Source organism: Homo sapiens, chromosome 12, assembly GCF_000001405.40.
Source record: "Homo sapiens chromosome 12, GRCh38.p14 Primary Assembly".
NCBI classification, from domain to species: Eukaryota; Metazoa; Chordata; class Mammalia; order Primates; family Hominidae; genus Homo; species Homo sapiens.
The window spans coordinates 96803893-96827999 of NC_000012.12; the positions used below are offsets into that span (position 1 = coordinate 96803893).

General features: G+C 35.7%; 1 protein-coding gene across 2 annotated transcripts in view; it reads left to right on the plus strand.

Moving 5' to 3' along the window:
• Positions 1–24107, plus strand: part of CFAP54 (cilia and flagella associated protein 54) — a 385979-nt gene that overhangs the window by 314316 nt on the left and 47556 nt on the right. For both annotated transcript variants that reach the window (NM_001367885.1, NM_001306084.2), the window contains 2 exons: positions 7844–7950; positions 13883–14021. In NM_001367885.1, coding sequence (NP_001354814.1) covers positions 7844–7950; positions 13883–14021 — 246 coding nt within the window. The remainder of the gene's footprint in view (positions 1–7843; positions 7951–13882; positions 14022–24107) is intronic.

A 24107-nucleotide genomic window follows, 5' to 3' on the forward strand; every position in this document is an offset into this window, starting at 1 on the left:
AAATAATTCCCTGAAATGCCAGCTAAAGCATTCAAAATATTGGTTTGAAAGAACCTCAATGAAATGCAGGAAAAATCTGAAAACCAATACAAAGAAATCAGAAAATCAATTCAGAATATGAATGAAAAATTTACCAAGGAGATAAATATCTTTAAAAAAAAGAATTTCTGAACTAAAAAATTCATTGAAGGAAATACAGAATACACTTGAAAGCTTTAGTGACACACTAGAGCAAGCAGAAGAAAGAATCTCAGAACTTGAATATGGGTCTTTTGAAATACTTCTGTCACACAGAAATAAGAAAAAAGAATGAACAAAGCCTCTGAAAGCTGGAACAAGGAAAGGATGCCCATTTTCACCATTCTTATTTAAGATAGTACTGGAATTTCTCACCACAGCTATCAGGCAAGAGAAAACTATTAAAGACATACAAATTGGAAAACAAGAAGTCAAATCACTTCTGTTTGCTGATCTTAAAACTAAAAAATCCTAAAGTCTTCAACAAAAAACCTCTTAGTTTGATAGATGAATTTTGTAAAGCTTCAGTACACAAAAGAAATCAGTAGCATTTCTATATACCAATAATGATCTAACCGAGGACCAAATCAAGAAGGCAATCACATTTGTAATAACTACATAAAACAATATCTAGGAATATATTTACCCAAGGACATGAAAGGTCTCTAAAAAGAGAGCTACAAAACACTGATGAAAGAAAGTGTAGATGACACAAACATGGAAAAACATTCCATCTTCATGGTTTGCGAGCATCAATATTACTAAAATGACCATACTGCCCAAAGCAATCTACAGGTTCAATATTTTTCACAGATAATTAGAAAAAAACAATCCTAAAATTCATATGGAACAAAAAAACAGCTGGAATAGCCAAAGCAATTCTAAGCCAAAAGAACAAACCTGGAGGCATCACATTACCTCACTTCAAATTATGCTACAAGGTTATAGTAACCAAAACAACAAATGGTACTGGTATAAAAAATAGACACATACATCAATGAAAAGACTAGAGAGCCCAGAAGTAAAACCGTATACCTTTAACCAACTGGTCTTTGACAAAGTTAACAAAAATATACACTAAGGAAAGGACACCCTGTTTAATAAATGGTGCTGGGAAAATTGGATAGCCATTTGCAGAAGAATGAAACTAGACCCATACATCTTACCAGATACAAAACTGAAGATGGATTAATGACCTAAACATAAGACCTGAAATTATTAAAAAAATCCAACAAGAAAACCTAAAAAATTCTCCTGGACATTGGCCTAGGCAAAACATTTATGACCAAGTCCTCAAAATCAAATGCAACAACAACAAAAAATAGACAAGTGGGACTTAATTAAACTAAAAAGCTACACAGCAAAGGAAATAGTCACGAGAGTAAACACACAACTTGCAGAATGGGAAAAAATTGCAAACTATGTATCTAACAAAGATCTAATATCTAGAATCTACAAGGAACTCAAGCAGCTCAACAAGAAAAAAAAACCATTAAAAAGTGGACTAAAAGCATGAACATATATTTTTCAAGAGAAAATATACAAGTTTTCAACAAACATGTAAAAAAGTGCTCAACATCACTAATCATCAGAGGAATGAATATTAAAATGACAATAAGATGTCATCTTAACACCAGTCAGAATGACTATTATTAAAAAGTCAAAAAAAAAAAAACCAGATATTGGCAAGAATGTGGAGAAGATGGAATACTTTTATAACACTGTTGGTGGGAATGTAAATTAGTACAATCTTTATGGAAAAAAGTAGAGAGATTTCTCAGGTAACTAAAAATTGAACCACCATTGGATTCAGCAGTTCTACAACTGGGTGTATATCCAAAGGGAAATAAATTATTATGTCAAAAAGATACCTGTACTTGTATGTTTATTGCATCACTATTTACAATAGCAAATATATGGAATTAACCTACGTGTCCATCAGTAGAGGACTGGATAAAGAACTACTCAGCCATAAAAAATAATGAATCATGTCTTTTGTAGTAACATGGATGTAACTGGAGGCCATTATCCTAACTAAAATAACTCAGCCAAATAGCACATGTTCTCACTTAGAATTGGAAGCTAAACAATGAATAAACATGGACATGCACAGTGGAATAATAGACATTGGAAACTACAAAGAGTGGGAGGGTGGGAGATGGGTAAGGGTTGAAAAATTACCTATTGGGTACAATGTTCACTATTTAGGTGATGAGTACTCTAAAAGCCAAGACTTTGTCACTAGCCAAATATATATATATATATATATATATATATATATATATATATATATATATATATATAATAACAACATAAAAAGAAAGTTGGAAAAATAAAACAAAGGCTGTTTTATTGAGTGCAGTTGGACAGTCCAAGGCAAAGTATTCAAAGGCCATAGAAGACTCAGATGGATAAGGATGATCAAGTGCAGGAAGTCTGAGCAAGCACGGCATTGAAGAGCAAGACTCCGTCAAGTGAAAACACAAACTTGAATGGAACTGAAACGGTATTTGGAGGTATGTTTATTTAGTGCAGGAATCCGGCCAGTCTACAAATAAGAGATGTGGACCTAGTACTCTTTTCTGGAAGACTTTATACCCCTAATAAAAGCTATACTCTGTTTCAGGTTCCCAAACAAACAAGCTGTGCATTTTAAGACAAGCTCAGTCCTAGCAGGATACTGAAGGAAGACTTAGGGTTCCTGGGAAAACTACTAAGTCATAATAAAAGCAGAAGCCCAATGATCAACTTAGATGTTGGAAGTGCTGTAACTCAGGGACCATGCAGAGGCCCAGGGATTCCCTTTGAGGTGCTCTGGATTTTGGGCCAGGTTGACCATGCAATTAGCTGGAGCCTGATCCTTCAGATGGGGCCCAAAATAACATCCAGCTTCAGGGAGCTTGGGAAGGCAAAAGCTGTTTAAGGGAGATAGGGACTGACATTTGAAATGGCTGTTGCGACTCAAAGTGTGGCTGAGAACCAGCAGCACTAGCATCCCCTGGAAGTTCATTAGAAATGTAGACTCTCAATTCAGACCCACTGAGTCAGAATATGCATTTTAATAGTAACTCCCAAGTATTATGCACATTCAAGTTTGTGAAGCACTGGTCTGTGCCGTTGCTACTAATGCAGCTTACAGTTCTAATGATGATTCTCCACTGCTGCATCATATAGTAGGTTCCATTGGAAACCTTCTCTGACTTCTCTTGGTACCACCCAAGGCAAAGTTCAGAACTGAAAAGAAACTAAGAGAACATCTATTCAATGCTCACATATTATAGATGAGGAAGTAAGGTCCCATGTGGGTAAAGTGACTTGACCAATGCTGCAACTCATTAGTGACATAAACAGGAATGAGAACCAAACTTTTCTCATCCCTACTATTGATTTCTTTACAAACACATATAATTTAGCTGCTTACTAATTAATAAAACATTTATTGAGTACATACCATATGCCAGGTATTTTCTTAGGTGATTAAGATACAAAGATGAGGAAGTCAGGCAATCAACTCCACCTAGTACAAGAGAGCTCGTCTTTCACTTATTCCTGGGCTATAAGGGATTCTAAACATAAGATACATTTTAAATTCAATAGTCCTCAGTGTTTTTCAAAACCATATCACTTCTTTGCCATTGAAAAACTAGTCTTTGCAGAAGTGAGTAAGGGAGCATTGAAAGTTCCATCATGAGTGTATTTCTCCTCCTGAATCCACCCTGAAGTATAAAGGTGATATAGGGTGAAACTGGCCCCTTGAAGACTGAAAACAAGCTGGGAATAGAACTAAGTATTAGTGGATTAGGCAAATACTGGCTGGGAGATCGAATGGGAAGTCATCTTGGGATTAGCAGTAGGTCTAAGAGAATATGAAGAATGAAGCACCAAAGAAGGGTAAGGAGCCAGGAGTGATCATGAGCTAAAATAATGCCTTAGAGAATTATTATTGCTCTAAGCACTTCACATGGACTCATTGAGTCCTCACACCACCGATTCATGGAATAGGGATTACACATCTCCATTTCACAAGTGAAGAAGCCAGAGGCATGAATGTTGACTTGCCCATAGTCTGTGTTTGCATTATGACTATGTAAGTATCATTCATGGCTAAGCCAAATAGGTTACTGCTTCCTTTATTTCTGCCTTCTTCTTTCCTGAAGAAAAAAGTTGCCTTATCTTTAACTTAGAGTCAGTCTTTTGCCTTTTTGAAAGTTTGGGAATAATCTCTAATTCTTCCCAAACTTTCAAAGAACTATACAGTCTTCTCCATTTGGTCAAACTCATCAGCATATCTTTCAGTTCCATTGTTTTTCTTCTTCAGAGACATGCTCTGCACTGATTGCTCTTATGGCTCAACTATCATCTTAAGAGTCCCATTCGTCACTCTATTGCAAATTCCTTCCCCTCTCTCTAAGTTGGGTTCCCTGGGTCTCCTGTTTCTGTCTTGAGTTACTCTCTTGTGTCAGATGAACACATCTTCCAGCTTCCTGAAAAAGGGTGTATTAGAGGTTCTAATTTTTCAGAGTACTCACGAGACTTCACAAAGAAAGGATAAGGCATGGAAGGCTAAAGAAAGCACAGGTGATCATTTGAGACACTCAAGATATCCAGGGGCAGCTTTCAGAGTCTCAGTCACATAGGACACAGTTCATTTATGGATTATAAACCACCAAAATATGGCATATCGTGGTCTCAAGCTGCTCTCTTATCTGAGGAGGAGCCTTTTATATCTCTGTTTATGTAGTCAAAAACACGTGTGAGCCCAGACTTAATAATAGAAGTGAAGATAATAGATCCAGCTGCCAATCATTAGTATGCACATTTTCTATAAAAAATGCAGACCAGATGTTATAGGCTGCTCCCTGGTGTGTTTCAGACCCTAGAACAGGACTGCGTCAATTACTGGTTAACACATTTTATTCAGGTTTGTCCAAGGGCCAATACCATGACTACATTCCCCTTATATGCTAACAGGGTTGCAGCAAACTAACTGAGATTACCCAGGAGGTAAAAAGACCTTGAATGTCTAACAAAAGATCTTTATTTTAATGCTTAATTCATTGTTTTCTTGGCATAAAATTCTAGGCTGACAGTTATTTTCCCTGAAAATGTGAGGGGCATTATTCCACTTGCAATCTTGCATTGCTGTTGAGAAGTCTGATCCCATTCTGATTCCTAGTTCTTTATTTGTGACTCTGCTAGCTCTCAGTCTTCCCTCTGTCCCGTATGTACTGAAATTCCATGATGCGCATTGGTGTGAGTCTTTCATCTGTTGTGCTGGATATTTAGGGTGGCCCTTTCAAAATGGAAAGTAATATTCTTCAGTTCATGGCCTTTTTTTATTTAATAATTTCCTCCCTCTGATTATCTTAGTACCTTTTGGAATTTCTATTATTCAGTTATTGAACCAATTGGATTAAGTGTTTACTTTTCTCATTTTTTTCCCTATTATCTACGTTTTTAAATTTAGGTTTCACTTTTGGGGAGATGGATTCAACTTTATATTTTCAATCTTTTCTTGATTATTTAGTTGTTTTGATCATATTTTTATTTTTAAGTAGTCTTCCTTGTTCTCTGATTGTCCCATTTTGTTAGTATCCTGTTCTTGTTTCACAGATACAATGTTGTCTTTCTTCTATCTGAGGATATTAATTATGGTTTCATTGGAGTTTTCTCCTGATCTTTGTCTTATATCTTATTCTGCAATTTCCCTTCTGTTAGTTTTAGTTTTTGCCTTTCATTTCCTGTCTAGTGACTCTTGACTGTCTACTTATGTTTGAAGTGAAACACTAAAAAGCATATTTAGTTAGATATTGACTTGTGGGCCTCATTACAGGATAACTGCAGAAGGAGGCAGTAGTTTCACTGGAGGATGATGAAATTTCAGCACCTGTAGGTCTTTTCTCTTTGACATATCAGTTTCCCCAAAGACAATTCTGTTAGACTCCTGCCTAATTTACTACATTCTGAGAAGGGGCTGTTGTGGGGTAGCAGGATGTCTCTCATTCAGAATACAGACTTTCACTTAATTCCAATGTTTTTAGTAAAGCACCTGAGCGTTGTACCTAACGTCCCTTAGCATAGATCCTCTCTGATTTAACATAAGCAGAGAGCAAAATAGAAGAAGTTCAGCCGGGAGAGAGGAGGCAAGGGAAAGGAGGAGTCTCCAGGTTGTACCCACCCAGATGAAAGGGAGGTTGTCTAATGTTACTCCCTGTTTGCAGTGCCACCTACTCCTGCCTTTAAAGGTACCTGAGCCTCCAGTTCCTGAGCTTCTCGGTGTTCTCAGTCATGCTTGTTGTTGGCAACCCCTCTGAAAACACTTAGGACACAGCCTTTCCTTTCTGCTGAGTCAGCTTTGTTCTTCCAGGTGCTTTCTGTCCTTCATAGTGTTGCTAACATCTTTTGTCTGCTTCATCTCCTCTTGTGTTCTTTCTGTCCTTGTGTACTTACGCCTTTTAAAAATACCTTTACTCTTATCTTAGTTTACTTTGTGAGGAAGCAGAGGTAAAGGCATGTGCTTTTAGGGGTGAAGAGAGTTTTTTCCTCCTCTTCTAAAGATTTGGGTCTAATAAAGTCTACCAAAATAATACTGACAATAGATAGCTTAACAGGAGAAAAAGCATACAAATTTAGTAATGTGTATAAGCACAGGAAAATAACAAGAGAATGATTACCCAATTACTCATACCGGAACTGAATGGACCCAAAGGGTAGACCATAGTTTTTGAATGATCTGTTTGAATGGGACCAAGAACAGACAATAGCTTGTGGGAAGTTATGGGAAGAAGAGCGGTAGCACAACACTGCAAACAAAGGTTGTCCGATTATGCAGATAAAGTCTCCCAGGCAATCTCTCCAAGCTGCCCTCAGAAGAATAGACAAAAACTCTGTGTGGGCCTGGTGATGACTTTTAGTCTTTTCTCCTCTCTGGTGCTTAATCTTTCTTGGTTATTTAATGAGATTCCTAGAAAGGGAGCTTCAAGACTATTGTACGTCTTTTGGAAGAAGTTTTCTCAGGCAGATACGGGAACCTCCTGAGAGAGCCCCTACCTGTGCTGGGTTAAAAGGTCTTGGTTCTGAGGTAGTTTCTAAGGCCTTCTAACGTCCTTTGTTACTTTGGGGCTCTGTTCTCTGAGCCTCAATATGCCTAATTACTCGGTTTTGATTGGCAGCTCTGGACAATAGCTTTCTTATATCTGAAATGAAGGAATTAGACCAGATTATCTCTAAGCTTCTGTGACTCTCAAACGCTACAAATCCATAACTAAGTAGGTGCTATAACTTATGCAACTGACTCTAAGAATTGTCAGAATCCAAACAACAGGGAAATTACTAGAGCATGAATCATCAAGGGACGTTTCATCTTAGCTGTGGTGGCTAGAAAGCTGTGTGTGGATTGGATAAATGGAGAGAAGAGGAAGGCAACAGCATAAGTGAACTCATAGAAATGACTATGCCCACTTATGGGAACGGTACACATTGAGAAGTAACAAGGAACAAAGTTGGCTATTTACCAGGTGTATGCTTAATACTTACTGTAGAGGGCCTTCAAAAGCTGAAATATAAACTTAATTGCAATACAAAATGTCACTCTTCAAAAATAATATCATATTGTTACCAAATAGTATTTATTTTCATCCTACAACCTTTGTACAATTCTGGTTCACATCATTTCTCTTTCAGGTGAATTGAAAACCCAATTTTTCTCTTCTAAACAAATACTTTTCAAAGTACAGTGATATTATTTTGTGAACTAATGCTGTAGTTTTTGAGCTAAACTCTAATTTTGATGTCACATTTTATACCCCTTTTATTTTTCTTATAGGTTTTATTGTTGTATGCATATAATTTGAAGCCTCTGAAGATTTCAGATGTTAGACATTCCACTTATAACAGTACATGTGTTGGCTCTTTATGGATTCCACTGAATAGGCAAGTAAAAATTCCACAACTCGAATTGTCTTTGTTGTTATCTCTCACGAGAATAGACTCTTTCAGTAATTGGCAAGGTGTAGCATAGGAGACCTGCTAAAAGGCACTTCGCGAAGAATCTTCCTTTTGTTTAGAGGAATATTATATTGCAGTGCTTAAGGGCATGAACTCTGAATCCTGCCTGCTTCATTCAAATACCAGTTGTGCCCCTTATTACCTTCACAACCTTGGGCAGTTTATGTAACCTCTGTACTTCAGTTTCCTTATAGTAAAATGGGAATAATACTAATAATAGTACTGAGGGTTGCTGAAGGAACAGTTCATACATGCTTCATAGAGATTACAGAGAGCACAAGGATGTTGTCTGTACTATATTTTGCCTGTAGTTTCAGCGTGGTTAAAAAATAATTTAATGTGGCTTTGTATGGAGTTTCAAAATTAAGCCCAAACTCCACTACCTCCCTTGGCCCACCTTTCCCTCTGTGCCCAGTCAGAAGTCTCTGCTTCATCTAGGTTGTTTTCCTCCCTCTCCATCAAACAGGTCATCTCTCTTAACTTTTTGCTCATGCCTCGTTTCTCTCTTCCTGTTTCACTTTACCAATTTCCCTGTTGTTGTTTTTTCATTTATTACTTAGTTTATTTTTGACTCCATTGTTCATTGCCCTTCTGACCTTAGCCTCCATTTCCTCCATTGTAGGATGGAAATGATCATAACTGCTCTGCCTGCCTTTCAGGGTTATTGTCAGGACTAAGATAGACAGTGTGTGAACATGCTTTGAAAAGCTTAACCACTAACGCCTGTTCCATCACTAAAGCCTGTTCCATCACTAACGCCTTTTCCATCAATGGCTTGGTAAACAGAGAATTAGTGTTTCTCTGTCCTTCCTTTGAGAGTCTTGTTTATGTTCCATGATTTTCATTTTGAATGACTTCTTGGCATCACCATGAAAGAGACAAAGGCTGTTTCAAGTGCTGGGCATATTTTCAATTGTTCAGTCAGTTTATTTGTTCCTTCTTTTCTTTCTTTTCTTCTTTTCTCCTCTTCTCTCCTGTTCTTCCCTTCCTTCCCTCCACTCCTCTCCTCTTTATTTTCATTCAGTCAATTTATTTTCTTCCTTCTTTTCCTTTCCCTTTCCTTTCTTCTTTTCCAAGTGAAATGGTCAAAAACTTAGGTACAGGCTACAGACCAGCATAGCTAAGCAACCAAATCAGGTAATTCTGCACTTGCTTTGTAAATCCAGAAATGTAGATTTTTCCAGCCCCATATGATGAAAATGATTATAATTTCTATAAAGTAGAAAGTCATCAAACTGATAAGCTTCTTTTTTTTATTCCAAAAAGTTTTGAATTTTGGTGTACTTCTGATCAATAGTAGGGTTACTAAAATTAGTGACAAGCCCCAGCCACTGAGGCCATCACAGAGGACCATGCCCAACAATCTTTTATCTCCTTGTCCTTTGGTGGCACTGTGAAAATAAACTATTTCTCTCATCCTGGGTGGCATTCCTTGTGTTCTTATGAGGCTCAAGATTAGTACATGGGAAATTGGTCCTGATCATCCTTTGGAAGGCAAAGTAGGAGTAAAACAGGTCAGAAAAAATAGGCCAGAGAAGAAGAAACTTGGATAACCTGCAAATTGGGACATCCTCCTTTTATCATTCACTTCCTCATCTCCTAGTTAAGTTCTCATAAGAAAAAGTATATTTTAATTCTTTGCATTTTTTTACAGCAACAAAGGAAACAATAGTGTTCTCAATGAACAGACATAAAACCTTCTGTGTAGTTCTATCTAAATTGTGCTGTTGTGACCAAAATCAAGTTCCTTGCCTACTGTCTCTGCCTTTAAACCTACAGTCATCCATGTTTCTACTTACAACTGGGTCCTGCCCTCCAGGCCACAGCAGACCCTGGGAGAGAGTGCCTAGGAGTCAGTAAATTAGAGCAGCGGCTGTGGGGAGCCCAGACGGGATGGTAGATGCTTGTTTGTAGTGCCAAGGTTTAAAAAGCTGGAACAGGCGTTGACCTGGAGGACAGAAATGAAGAAGTACGTGGGAGGACAGGGAAGTGAGGGGCAAATGCATGCCAGAGCACAAAGGGAGGGAGCAAGATGTAGGCAGGTGCAGTCATGGGGTCCAGGCCTCACACCAAGATTCAAGTCATCTGATGTTGCTCTTTGCATGAGGACTCAGCCTGCTTTGCCCGTTCCCAGACTGCTCTTTGTGGAGCTAGATGGGGCCATTTACTCTGCCAGCACAGGCAGTGAAGTTCTGGACACTCATGTACAATCTGAAACCCAAATGTCAAAGAACGGTTTATCCTTCCTAGAATCCCAAGTATTATAAAGGAAAGCTATGCTATTTGTGGAAGACAAATAAGACTTCTTTCTCTAGGTATTGGAATAAAAGAATGGCGTTTTAGAATACTATCTTTCCTTCATGTGGTTACTTGTGGTTAAGAACATACATACTTATGTCATTTCATCCTTACAAAAGCCTTATGAATTGGATGAAGTAGATTTTCTTATTCCAGTCTTACAGTAGAAGGAACCTCAGGGTCAGAGAGATTAAGTGAGTAGTCTAAGGTTTCATGGCTAGAGTTTGAAGGAACCAAGCATGACTCATCAAGTCTTTCACCTCCTCATCTTCTTTTCTCTCCAATGCATCAGACACCTTTTCCAGCATTATTGGAGATGACCTATTGTTTTTTAAGTTTTACTTTAAGTTCTGGGATACATGTACAGAACGTGCAGATTTGTTACATAGGTATACACGTACCATGGCAGTTTGCCGCACCTATCAACCTGACACCTAGGTTTTAAGCCCCACATGTATTAGGTATTTGTCCTAATGCTCTCCTTCCCCTTGTCCCCAACCCACCAACAGGCCCTAGTGTGTGATGTTCCCCTCCCTGTGTCCATGTGTTCTCATTGTTCAGCTCCCACTTATAAGTGAGAACATGCAGGGTTTGGTTTTCTGTTCCTGTGTTAGTTTGCTGAGGATGATGGTTTCCAGTTTCATGCATGTCCTTGCAGAGGACATGAACTCACTCTTTTTTTATGGCTGCTAGTATTCCGTGGTGTTATGTGCCATTTTTTCTTTATCCAGTCTATCATTGATGGGCATTTGGGTTGATTCCAAGTCTTTGCTATTGTAAATAGTGCTGCAGTAAACATACATGTGCATATTTCTTTATAGTAGAATGAGTTATGATCCTTTGGGTATATACCCAGTAATGGGATTGCTGGGTCAAATGGTATTTCTGGTTCTACATCCTTGAGGAATTGCCACACTGTCTTCCATAATGGTTGAACTAATTTACACTCCCACCAACAGTATAAAAGTGTTCCTGTTTTTCCGCATCCTCTCCAGCGTCTGTTGTTTCTTGACTATTTAATGATTGCCATTCTAACTGGTGTGAGATGGTATCTCACTGTGGTTTTGATTTGCATTTCTCTAATGACCAGTGATGATGAGCTTTTTTTCATATGTTTGTTGGCTGCCTAAATGTCTTTTTTTGAGAAGTGTCTTTTATATCCTTTGCCTACTCTTTGATGGGGTTGTTTGTTTTTTTCTTGTAAATTTGTTTAAGTTCTTTGTAGATTCTGGATATTAGACCTTTGTCAGATGGATAGATTGCAAAAATTTTCTCCCGCTCTGTAGGTTGCCTGTTCACTCTGTAGGTTGCCTGTGGTTTCTTTTGCTGTGCAGAAACTCTTTAGTTTAATTAGATTCCATTTATCAACTTTGGCTTTTGTTGCAATTGCTTTTGGTATTTTAGTCATGAAGTCTTTGCCCATGCCTGTGTCCTGAATGGTATTGCCTAGGTTTTCTTTTGGGGTTTTTATGGTTTTAGGTTTTACATTTAAGTCTTTAATCCATCTTGAGTTAATTTTTGTATAAGGTGTAAGGAAGGGGTCCAGTTTCAGTTTTCTGCATATAGCTAGCCAGTTTTCCCAATACCATTTATTAAACAGGGAATCCTTTCCCCATTGATTGTTTTTGTCAGGTTTGTTGAAGATCAAATGGTTGTAGATGTGTGGTGTTATTTCTGGGTTCTCTGTTCTGTTCCATTGGTCTATGTACCTGTTTTGGTACCAGTACCATGCTGTTTGGGTTACTGTAGCCTTGTAGTACAGTTTGAAGTCAGGTAGCATGATGCCTCCAGCTTTGTTCTTTTTGCTTAGTACTGTCTTGGCTGTATAGCTTCTTTTTTGGTTCCATATGAAATTTAAAGTAGTTTTTTTCTAATTCTGTGAAGAAAGTCAATGGTAGCTTGATGGGAATAGCATTGAATCTATGAATTACTTTGGGCAGTATGGCCATTTTCACGATATTGATTCTTCCTATCCATGATCATGGAATGTTTTTCCATTTGTTTGTGTCCTCTCTTATTTCCTTGAGCAGTGGTTTGTAGTTCTCCTTGAAGAGGTCCTTCACATCCCTTGAAAGTTGTGTTCCTAGGCATTTTATTCTCTTTGAAGCAATTGTGAATGGGAGTTCACTCATGATTTGGCTCTCTGTTTGTCTATTATTGGTGTATAGGATGACCCATTTTTCAATGGGTAAGTTTTTCAAGTAAACTTTAACAACAAATCTTTGCATTTAACTGTTGCCTTTTTAACAGAAAAGTTTCTAAGGCATACTATATAAATTCAAATCCTCTTATATGTAATTACATTTTTAACTTTTTATTGCTGAGAGCTATCATTAGGATAATCAAGTATTGCACAGTGGTGCAGATGAGGATGCTGTGGACAATTGGAAAATTGACATTTTTGCCTATGTTCCTGATGTCAGTTTGTTTTTGGGATCATTTGCTTCTTTTGCATAAAAATTTTCTTCCTTCCTTGAATGGAGACATGCATGTGCACACACATATGTAAACACATGTATGCACATGTGTGTTGTGCCTGTAGTGTGGAGTCACTGGGGCCATGCAGGTGGCTGTTTGCCTTCTTCAACTGTAAGCCTTTTCACCTTCTGCCTCCACTCCCCTGGTCCACTCTGCCTTCAGGGCATCACTGTTAACTGGCATGTGAACCTTGTCTTCAGCATCATTGCTAGTGCCCTCCTTTGGCTTTTACTTTTCCATTTTTCTTGATTCTTCTCCCTACCTCCCTTCCTCCACCCTCTTCACTCCCATTCCCGACACACATGCAATACACTGAATTGTTATGGGTCCGTTGACTGACCTTCTAGAGTCATTGCTCACTTGTCATAATTCTTACCTGCAGGTCAGCGGATAGTCAGAGCATGGCATTAAGACTTCCATAGGAGTAAATCTTTTGCTTTTGCCTAGATTTTGTTTCACCACATAGATAATTATTTTCTTTATTTTCATCTTCAGCAATATTTTAGATGTGTGCCTTTTTTATTGTGCTTTTGCAATTTCTAATTATATTTTTATCTGCATGTATGACAAGACCATAAACATAATGAAAGTTAAGACTGTGTCTCTTTGCTCATGTTTCTTGAATAAAGGGAATTACTGAATGAATGATGCTTGGCGATATCAGAAATCTAATCGTTAAATAACTGAGGGCTTACTTTATACAAGTTATTGATGCTGCAAATAAATACCTTTCTTTCTTTTTTTTTTTTTTCTGTCTCGCTCTGTCGCCCAGGCTGGAGTGCAGTGGCGCAATCTCCGCTCACTGCAAGCTCTGCCTCCCAGGTTCACGCCATTCTCCTGCCTCAGCCTCCTGAGTAGCTGGCACTACAGGCGCCTGCCACCACACCTGGCTAATTTTTTATATTTTTAGTAGAGACGGGGTTTCACCATGTTAGCCAGGATGGTATCAATCTCCTGACCTCGTGATCCACCCGCCTCGGCCTCCCAAAGTGCTGGGATTACAGGCGTGAGCCACCACGCCCGGCCATAAATACCTTTCTTAACTCTTCAAATAAAATACATATATATTTGTTATTTTCAGGGTTATTGCAATTCATGAGAAATTATCTAATCTTGCTCAAATAGCTGAACTATCATTGCCAGCAGCTCCTGAAATTACCTCAAATGAAAACATATATGAAGTAGAAGTGGAAGAGGAATCAGTTGATAATGAAATGGAAGTAAGTTGTTAAATAATGGAAAATGACATTGCTATAGATTATCTTTTATATCCTCAAAGCAGAACTATGTAACTGGACTTAAACTCTGTAATTCTTCTGCCTCTAGTTTATTCAGAGTACGAGACATGACTCAACTTTTTGACACATATGTAGTGTGTCTTCTGAAGGTCTGAAGGTCTTCTAAGCATACGAATTACAAGAATTTGATGGTGAATGAACACAAACGAATCCAGATAAATCGTTCAGCTATAGCTGTGAATCCTAAGAAATAATGCTTTGTGACTTTGCAATATTACTTTTATCTTTTTTCACTCTAAATCTATTATTTAAACACTTTTATTTCCCAAATAATATGTGAAGAAAAACTAGAAAATATAGATAAGCATATTTTTTCAGACTTTTTATATTACATATATTTTTTCTAACAAAAAAGGCTGTTATCCGTATAGTATGCTATTAAGTCTGGTCACACAGCTGAGTTGTTTTTCTGATGACCGATGTTTGTATTTTGGAGGAGATGGGGGTTTTCTGTCCCTTCCTGAGTTCTCAGTTCTCCTGGGGCACAGGAGACAGTTATATGGAGACCAAAATGTCAGCATCATTACTGATAAAGCTGATTAGTGAACTTGGCTTTAGATCTGTGGCCAAATGAGCACACTAATATTTTACCCCTGAATTAGCCAGACTTGCCCACCTAGTCATGCAGTCATCTGGCACACCTGTGTAACCACAGGGTTTCCCCATTTCCCTTCTGCCCCACTCAAGCTTACTGCATGGAGAGCAGAGAATTATAGTTCTGCAGGCAGGGTGCCTCCAAAAAGTATAAACAAAGATAGCCCAGAAGGGGTTGAGCCTAGCATGCTCTGTTGCTTTTCCCAAACTCACTGATGAGATAAGTCACTCCACTCTTTTGTGGGTAAATCCAAAAGAAGCTGGAAGTGTCTTGCCTTCTTTGGGAGAGATATGGAAATTCCTTACCCTTTATGGAAATGAGAAGGGTAGGGAATATATGTTCTCCCCTAATTACCTGTTCTTTAAATTACCATTTGTACCTTAATTTCTTGAGAGATGTATTCTGTACTTATTGTAGCTGTTTAAAAGATAGATGTACATGGCTTAAAACGAAAAAAGGCAATCTGCTGCCCAACCTCTGCTCACTCCACAATTCCGCTCTGCAGAGGCAACCACTTTCCACTTTTAGCTGCTACGTTTGTTATTTGCTTTCACACCTACAAATAATATTCAGTATCGGTCATGAAAGATGGGGTAATGAAAAGCCTCCAAATCTGAGTGAGTCAGCTGGGGACCTGCTTCATGTCTCCTCATGCCAGCATCCAGGTGGGTGGCACATTCATCATGGAACATCACCAGTCACTGTGGCGGGAGGGAAAGAAGGGGCACATTACACACTGGCTCATAAAACTTCCATCATAGCACTTCCACTAACAGTTTGTTCATTAGCCAAATAATTTATATGCTGTACCAACAATTGTGCCACCAGTTTGGAAGACAGAAAGCCAGACAAAATGATGAATCATGCTGAAAGCCAGAAATTATTGTTTTTTCTGGAGGTATCAATTTTAGACAATATATTGATTCCCTGTCTGATATATATGGATTTAGCTCACTTATACTTCTCCCCAACTTCTTCTTTTCCCTTCTCTTCTATGTATTGTTACCTCACAAAATTTAATTAAATCAATATTCAGTGTTATGACCCTGTAAATGATGTTCACAGCTGAGTCAAGTAGTGTACTATAGTTATTTTCCTTTCTTTTGTGTTTGGATTTTTCTTGACTTGTCTTTTATTCTTTATATTTTCTCAGTCATTACATCAGAACTTTCATATGTTCATCCATAGATTTTTTACTGAAGTATTCATATTTATCAAATAATGTCTCAAACGCATTTTCCTCTGGAGCCTCCCACCCTCCTGTTGCAGTTGAAGACTGAATGCTCTCATGCCTGCTGCATAGCCCTGCTTCTGGGCCCTCCTTGTGACACTTTTTGGGTTGAGTTCCCAGCTACTTGGGTCCCAGCCTCACTTTTCCAGAACTCTTGCCTACAAAACAAATTTTATTCATCATTTCTTCATTCAACATCTTTTGCATGCCTCCTACTTGCCATGGTGTGGGAATCGGGGATGAGCAAGACACAGAGAGAGCCCTTAGGAGCTTATGGTCTCGTGAGAGCAATGGGAGACACAGACTCTTGCCTCACTCTGCTGATATCAGAGCAGAGGAAGCACTTAATTCTACCCATCTCTCCTGCTTTTAGGATCTTCTCTTTATTTTTGGTCTAGTATATCTTTTTGACTTAAATCATGTTCTGCTAGGAATATTTAATTGGGTGTCAGTAACAAAATATTTTTAGTTCTGAAAGAATATTATTGTTTTGGCTTTGTTTTCTTGTTTACCTCATCTATACACTTTCATTATGTGAAAGTGTAAAAGTCAGCAACTTTCCTGATATTTAGAAGGTACTTGTTGGCATTTTTAGTTTGAATTCATCAGTAGAGTGAATGAATGCATTTTTCATTATTGTAAAAGCAGCAAGCCTAACCATAAGAGAATCTACTGTGCAAGTACAGTTAGCCTTTGCAAAATGCCACTTTTCAGCATTTATGACTTCTGTGCTCTGTGCCTAGGTATATCATGGGGCAGATGTCTTAGAATTTTGGTTGAACATCCTTTTCAGTGTCCTCCAATGTTGCAACATGAATTATGATGCTTAATGATGTACTGAGTGCTTATAATAAATCCCTCAATATATCAGATAACTCAAACTATCTCAAACTTGGGAGGTTTTATGGCTATAACTATAGATATAGGTTTATTTTATAAAGTGCATGATTGCCCTTTCATGTCTATTTTCAAAAATAATTCAGCTCTCTATTTTTATACTTCTTTTGTAGAATACCTACAATGACAGTTTTTAAGCCACATACCAAATTTACCATATTGCTGTTTTTGAGCCATGGTCTAGAATATTCTTTGCTGAAATTGTCCCTAAATTCACTACTATCTGGTTCATATATGGAAAATGATTATTTTCCTCTGAACCCATTTTCAGCTTAGATTGTCTGAGGCAGGAGAATGAGCATCTGTTAGAGTAAGGATTCTAGATTGTACCCTCTGCCACTCAGCTTTACTACTGAAGGTCCGTCTCTTAGCTTTTCCTGGAGCTCATTTTCCTCTGAACTCCATAATGATCTTTTCATTCAAATCCTGCTCTGAGATGGAGAGATGGGCTCTTTGGGTGGACTGAGAGTCACCAAAACATCCTTGGTGGGCAGATGTAGGTATCAAATTCATCAAAATGAACCCAGCATCTGAGTCAAGAGGTTGACTATAAATATAAACAAATAAGAAATAAATGAGGTCGAGGGTATGGTGGTGTCTGAAGATAAGTGGAGGGAGGAATTTGGAGGACCTACCTTGCCTTAAGAAAGGCTTATGGCTTGCTTTCCTGTTCCAACTGAAATGGTGGGTGTGCCTGGATCAATCCTCAAGTAGAACAAACTCTTTTCACTCTTAATGTTCTTCTTTGTGTTTTTGAATTTGTTTTATTCTCCAACCTAGAAAGTGTTTCTTCAGCTTTAACGTGGGGCATTTTAGATATTTTCTGGCTCCGTTAGTTCTATATATGGAAGAATATCACCAGACAGAAGGAACACTAATATTCGTTTAGGTGAATTGGCAAGCAAATTAGCTCACAGCGTTTGAAAGTTGAGAAATGAAATTACATATAAATTTTTCTATTTTCCACAATACTAATGAGCACTTTATTAAAAAAAAAAAAAAAAAAAGCTCGATTCTGGGTTGTATCAGATAAATTCCATTGACTAAATCTGCTAGTTTGTTGTCATGACAACCTTCACATGGAGCTAATTAGAAGTTAAGTAGGACACTTCTAAAAGAGATCAATTCTGGTCTGGAATTGGACAGGATTTCATAGCTTCCATAATCTATTTATTTCTATTAACAGTATAGATTGTTGGTGGGTTATTGAATATAAGGGTGCAGAAAATGTGTCTTTGGTTGACATGGGGGGAAGGTAGTGAATCTTGTTTTCTTCTTCACTCCCTTTTATGTATATCCCCCCAAAACCCTAGGGTCCAGAATAAGCCAAGAACTTCAGAACACATATATTAATTTAAGATGTATTGGGAGGACTACAGAACAGGTGTTCCAATCACTGTTGGCTTGAAAACCTTGTGTATCCTTTTTTCTAAAGTGAACAACACTGGCTGTGAATGGCTGAGTTATTTTAATCTGTCATTCACAGTTAACGGGAGTGTTCAGAGCCTGTCAGGTGTTCTAAAGCATATGGAAGATGCAAAACACCCTGATTTTAAGATGCATACACCTTATTTGGAATGATAGCATACTGATATGAAAAGTTTAGAATATGTTTGCCAAGTCACCTAAGGTTAGTTCAGCAAACATTTATGAAATGCCTGATTGTAAGACTATTAAAATTAATATATAGGGAGTATATCCCAACTATTAAAGTACTGTGAGAACACAGAGCAAGATACAATTGGAAATTAGCATCAATTCACAAATTCTTTTTGAGGAACTATTATGTGCAAACTATTTCCAGGCTTGAGGAGGTGAGAATATACAGAAATCAATATAACCAGGTCCCTGTCACAGAGGAGCTTAATCAATGTACGAGTATGGCCATAGGTACCCAGATGTCATTCCTAATGAGCCCAGCCACCCAGTAGCTCTGTCGTAAGAAAGTGTGGCAGTCAGTCTGATGTCCCAAACCATTGAAAATAATCTAAATCTTTCCTGTCTCTTATAGGAACATCCCAGGGGGAATCCTTTAGAATACACAGAAAAGTTTCTTGTAAATCCTCTTTTCCCCAGCTGTCTTGCTCTCATAGCTCTCTGGCATCCATAGCAGCTCTCTAACATCTGTCTCATTTGGCTCAAACTCCAACACCTTTTCCTCCAACTCAGTCTATGTAGAGATTTTTGTTTCTTTTCTCCTTCCCAGTCTGGCTCAGCAATTTATTATGTTGTTCAACTTAGTACCTCTGACTTCTTCCAGTTTTCCTATTTCCCCATTATCTACATTCTGCACTGTATAGACAGGTAGAGTTGTAGAATCCTTCCTTCTTGGCAGTGGGGTTACTGATGCAAACTCTTCTAACTGATTGTATTTAAAGTCTCATTTACATAGATCGTGTGTGTTTGTCTGTGTGTGTGTGTGTCTGTGTGTGTGTGTGTGTTTTGAGAGAGAAAGTTGAGCTAGACTTTGTGCTTGCTTAAATAGCTCACACAGCATTTTCTAGCCCTTCTAGACTGAAATTAAGGCCATGTTTCCTTGCATCCCCAAATATCCTGTATTAGTTAGGCAATTAGCTGATGACTTGTCTCTTCCTCTCTCTTGACTGTGAATTCCTTTGCTCAGAGGGCTTATTCATCATTATATCGCCAATATCTAGCCCAGTAACTGAACCTTAGTGCTTCCTTAATAGTTTGTGAAACTTCTAGTTGGAGACCTGTGGAGAAAACTCATTCCAGACTGTGGATACAGCAAGAGATGAGATATGAAGTCATGGAACTGAATCTCATATTCAGGAAACAATAAGATCTGTTGTGGCAGAAGTACAGGGTGAATGTAGTGGGAGATGGCTCAGGAAGGCTGGGTGGAATTATGTGCTTCCTCTGCTCTGATCTCACCACCAAGTGCAGTAGGAGTCTGTCTCTCCAATTGCCCTCACTAGGCCATGAACTCCTTATGGGCTCTCTGTGTTTTGTTCATCTCCTATTCCTCCTTCGTGGCCTATAGGAGGAATTTGATTGATGTTGAATGGATAAATGGTGAAAGGATTTTGTTCTGTAAGAGAGGGCTGTGGGAAAGCAGGGCTGGATCTTGGGGCCTAGGACAAGGTAGGGGCAGCACCTCGCCTGGAAGGGCAGCTCATGATCCACCCTATGATTTGCCAAGATAATCATAGTGGCATGTGAAGGAGAGACGAGGGAAGCAAGAGTTTGGAGGCTGGAAAGCAACTTAGGAAGTTTTTTCTCCCCCCACCCACATTATAGATGAAGGAAAATGATGATTTCAACCAAATCTAAGAATTGGCTTTAATATCTTGAAGTCACTCAGAGAGCCACTGCTCATAGAAATAGCAGATGTTCTTTTTAAGGGAGAAGTGGCAAAGACTGAGCAAGGGTCATTCTGTGCCCTCCCAGCCCCTCGCTAGCTGCAGCATGCGTGCATCCAACCGCTTTCTGGCTGGGACAGGCGAGCTCCCTGCCTTCCCCTTCTTCATCTCTGTGGCAGCAAGGTCACACAAGGAACTCACAGCCCCAACCTCCAGTCAGCCAATTTCAGAACATGTGTATGCGGTTTACCTCAAGTAATGCCAGATTAAAAGGATGTCATTCAAGCAAAATTTCTGTTTGAAAAATGTTGAGCTGAAGCAGGGCAAGGCGTTTTTCAGGTAGCATTGCTCTCTTCATCTGTGATGTGAATTGATTAGTGACATAGACAGTGTCATTTTGTTTCATGGCTCTTAATGAAATCCTTACAATAACCCATCATGCTGTTGTTGAAATCTTTTATTTAGACAGAAAGCATACCTTACCTAAGCACTCAATTGGAAATACAGATAAATAAGGGGTATATAGGAGTGGATGTATGTTCCCCTCTATCTGGAAAAGTGGACCAGGGACCTGGCAAGATCAGCAGAGGACACTGGTGTACCCTGACTAGTGCTGGGTAGTCTGCCTGTCCTCCATCATTTTTAGACCCATAGAAGCTGGCCCACTTCTAGCCGTGATCACTTCCTACCCAAACTGTTTGAGTGGTGTCCTAGCTGATTTCTCTGTCTCTTTCCAGTGCAGTTCACTTTTAAACTGTGGTCAAATTATCTTTTCAAAGCAATCTCTACCATTATTCCCTCAGTCCAGTCCTGCTCTATTCTCTATACAATAAAATCCAAATTCCTTACTTTTACATGACCTGTTAAAAATTTACCTCTCTGGTGAGAACTCTCACTGCCATGGTTCCTATACACACCTGCAATGAGGATCATATCACCATATCAGCAAATTCCTTGTGTTCCTTGAATGTCCCCTGTTCATTGCTTATGTGTGACTCCCCCCACCCTACGCGCCCCACAATGCCCTGGTCCCCAATCTCTACCAGTTGAAGTTGCACTATTTTTTTCAAGGCTCAATTCTTATGACCCTTCCTCCAGGAAGTCTTCCATGTTTCTACTACTAAGAATTATTCTCTCCCACATCTAGGATCCTAGATATTATATACATATTATATATATATATATTCTCTCCCACATCTAGGATCCTAGATATTATATATTATATATAATATAACATGTTATATTATATATAATATAATATATTATATATATAATATAATATATATTATATAACATGTTATATATTATGTAACATGTTATATTATATATTATGTAACATGTGTTATATATTATGTAACATGTTGTATTATATAATATGTAACATGTTATATTATATATAATATATGTTATATTATATATAATATAATATATTATATATATTATATAACATATATAACATACATAATTATATATTATATAACATATTATATATTATTTACTATATATTATATATATTATATATACTATATTTACCTATAATAATTATATATACATATATTATTTACATATTATATATGATATAATATATAATATATATCACCCTATTGTATATTATATATATCATGCTATAATATATTATATATAACATATCACGATATATATTATATATTAATTAGATTATATAATATATTATATAAATATCACATTACATAATAATATGTATCATGATATATATTACATATTATGTAACATAGTATATATTACATATTATAATATATAAATATATAAATTAGTATATAATATAATTTATAATATATAAATTAATATATAACAGAATATATCAATATATATTCATATATAACTATATAACAGAATATATTCATATATAAATATGTAACATAGTACATTAATATATAAATTAATATATAACATAATATATTAATGTATAAATTAATAAATAACAATATATTAATATAGAAATTAATAATAGATATTAATATATTATATATATTTTATATATACACACACATTTACCAGCATTTAGAATACTAAAATGATAAAATTACACTAATTTTTAAATAACTAAGCAATACTGGTTAAAACCTTGAAATAAAAAAGCAAACAACACCTGAACTCAAAGCCCCAAAACTCCATTATATCTAAGTTTAAACAAATGCAAAAACAAGGAAAAGGCCAAATTTCAGGGTTCTAAAACCATAGATAATTCAATTCAATTTAACAAATATATTCAAGACATATATATATAGAAGACAATATATATATTGAATATATATAGTCTACAATATATATACTTGAATATACATATAGTTATATATATTCAATATATTGTTATATATATATTCAATATATATAACAAACATATATAATATATAATATATATTATATACCATATATGTTATTTACTATATATTATATAATATATGTAAATAATATATAATATATATCATGATATATAAATATATAATATATTATATATTATATATATAATTTATATATAATATATAATATATAATATAGATTATATGTATTATATAAATATATTATATGATAATATATCATGATATATGTTATATATTAAATATAGTATATATTAAATATATTATATATAAATATATAATATATAATATATTACATATTATAATATATAAATTAATATACAACAGAATATATTATATAATATATAATTCTTATATAATACATATTAATATATTATATAATATATAATTATAAATAATATATAATTATATATTATACATATTAATATATTATATAATATATCATATAATATTATATAATATATTATATAATATTATGATATATTATATAATATTATATGATATATTATATATGCAATTATATATGATTATATATAATATGCAATTATGTATGATTATATATAATATGCAATTATATATGATTATATATAATATGCAATTATATATGATTAATTATAATATGCAATTATATGTGATTATATATAATATGCAATTATATGTGATTATATATAATATGCAATTATATGTGATTATATATAATGTGCAATTATATGTGATTATATATAATGTGCAATTATATGTGATTATATATAATGTGCAATTATATGTGATTATATATAATGTGCAGTTATATGTGATTATATATAATGTGCAGTTATATGTGATTATATATAATGTGCAGTTATATGTGATTATATATAGTGTGCAGTTATATGTGATTATATATAGTGTGCAGTTATATGTGATTATATATAGTGTGCAGTTATATGTGATTATATATAGTGTGCAGTTATATGTGATTATATATAGTGTGCAGTTATATGTGATTATATATAGTGTGCAGTTATATGTGATTATATATAGTGTGCAGTTATATGTGATTATATATAGTGTGCAGTTATATGTGATTATATATAGTGTGCAGTTATATGTGATTATATATAGTGTGCAGTTATATGTGATTATATATAGTGTGCAGTTATATGTGATTATATATAGTGTGCAGTTATATGTGATTATATATAGTGTGCAGTTATATGTGATTATATATAGTGTGCAATTATATGTGATTATATATAATGTGTAATATGATACATAGTAATATATTATATTATGTATAATTATATATGATACATAGTAATATATTATATTATATATAATTATATATAATTATATTTAATATAATTATATATAATACATAGTAACATATTATATTATATATAGTTATATATAATATATAATTATATATAATACATAGTAATATATTATATATAGTTATATATAATATATAATTATATATAATACATAGTAATATATTATATATAGTTATATATAATATATAATTATATATAATACATAGTAATATATTATATTATATATAGTTATATATAATATATAATTATATATAATACATAGTAATATATTATATTATATATAGTTATATAT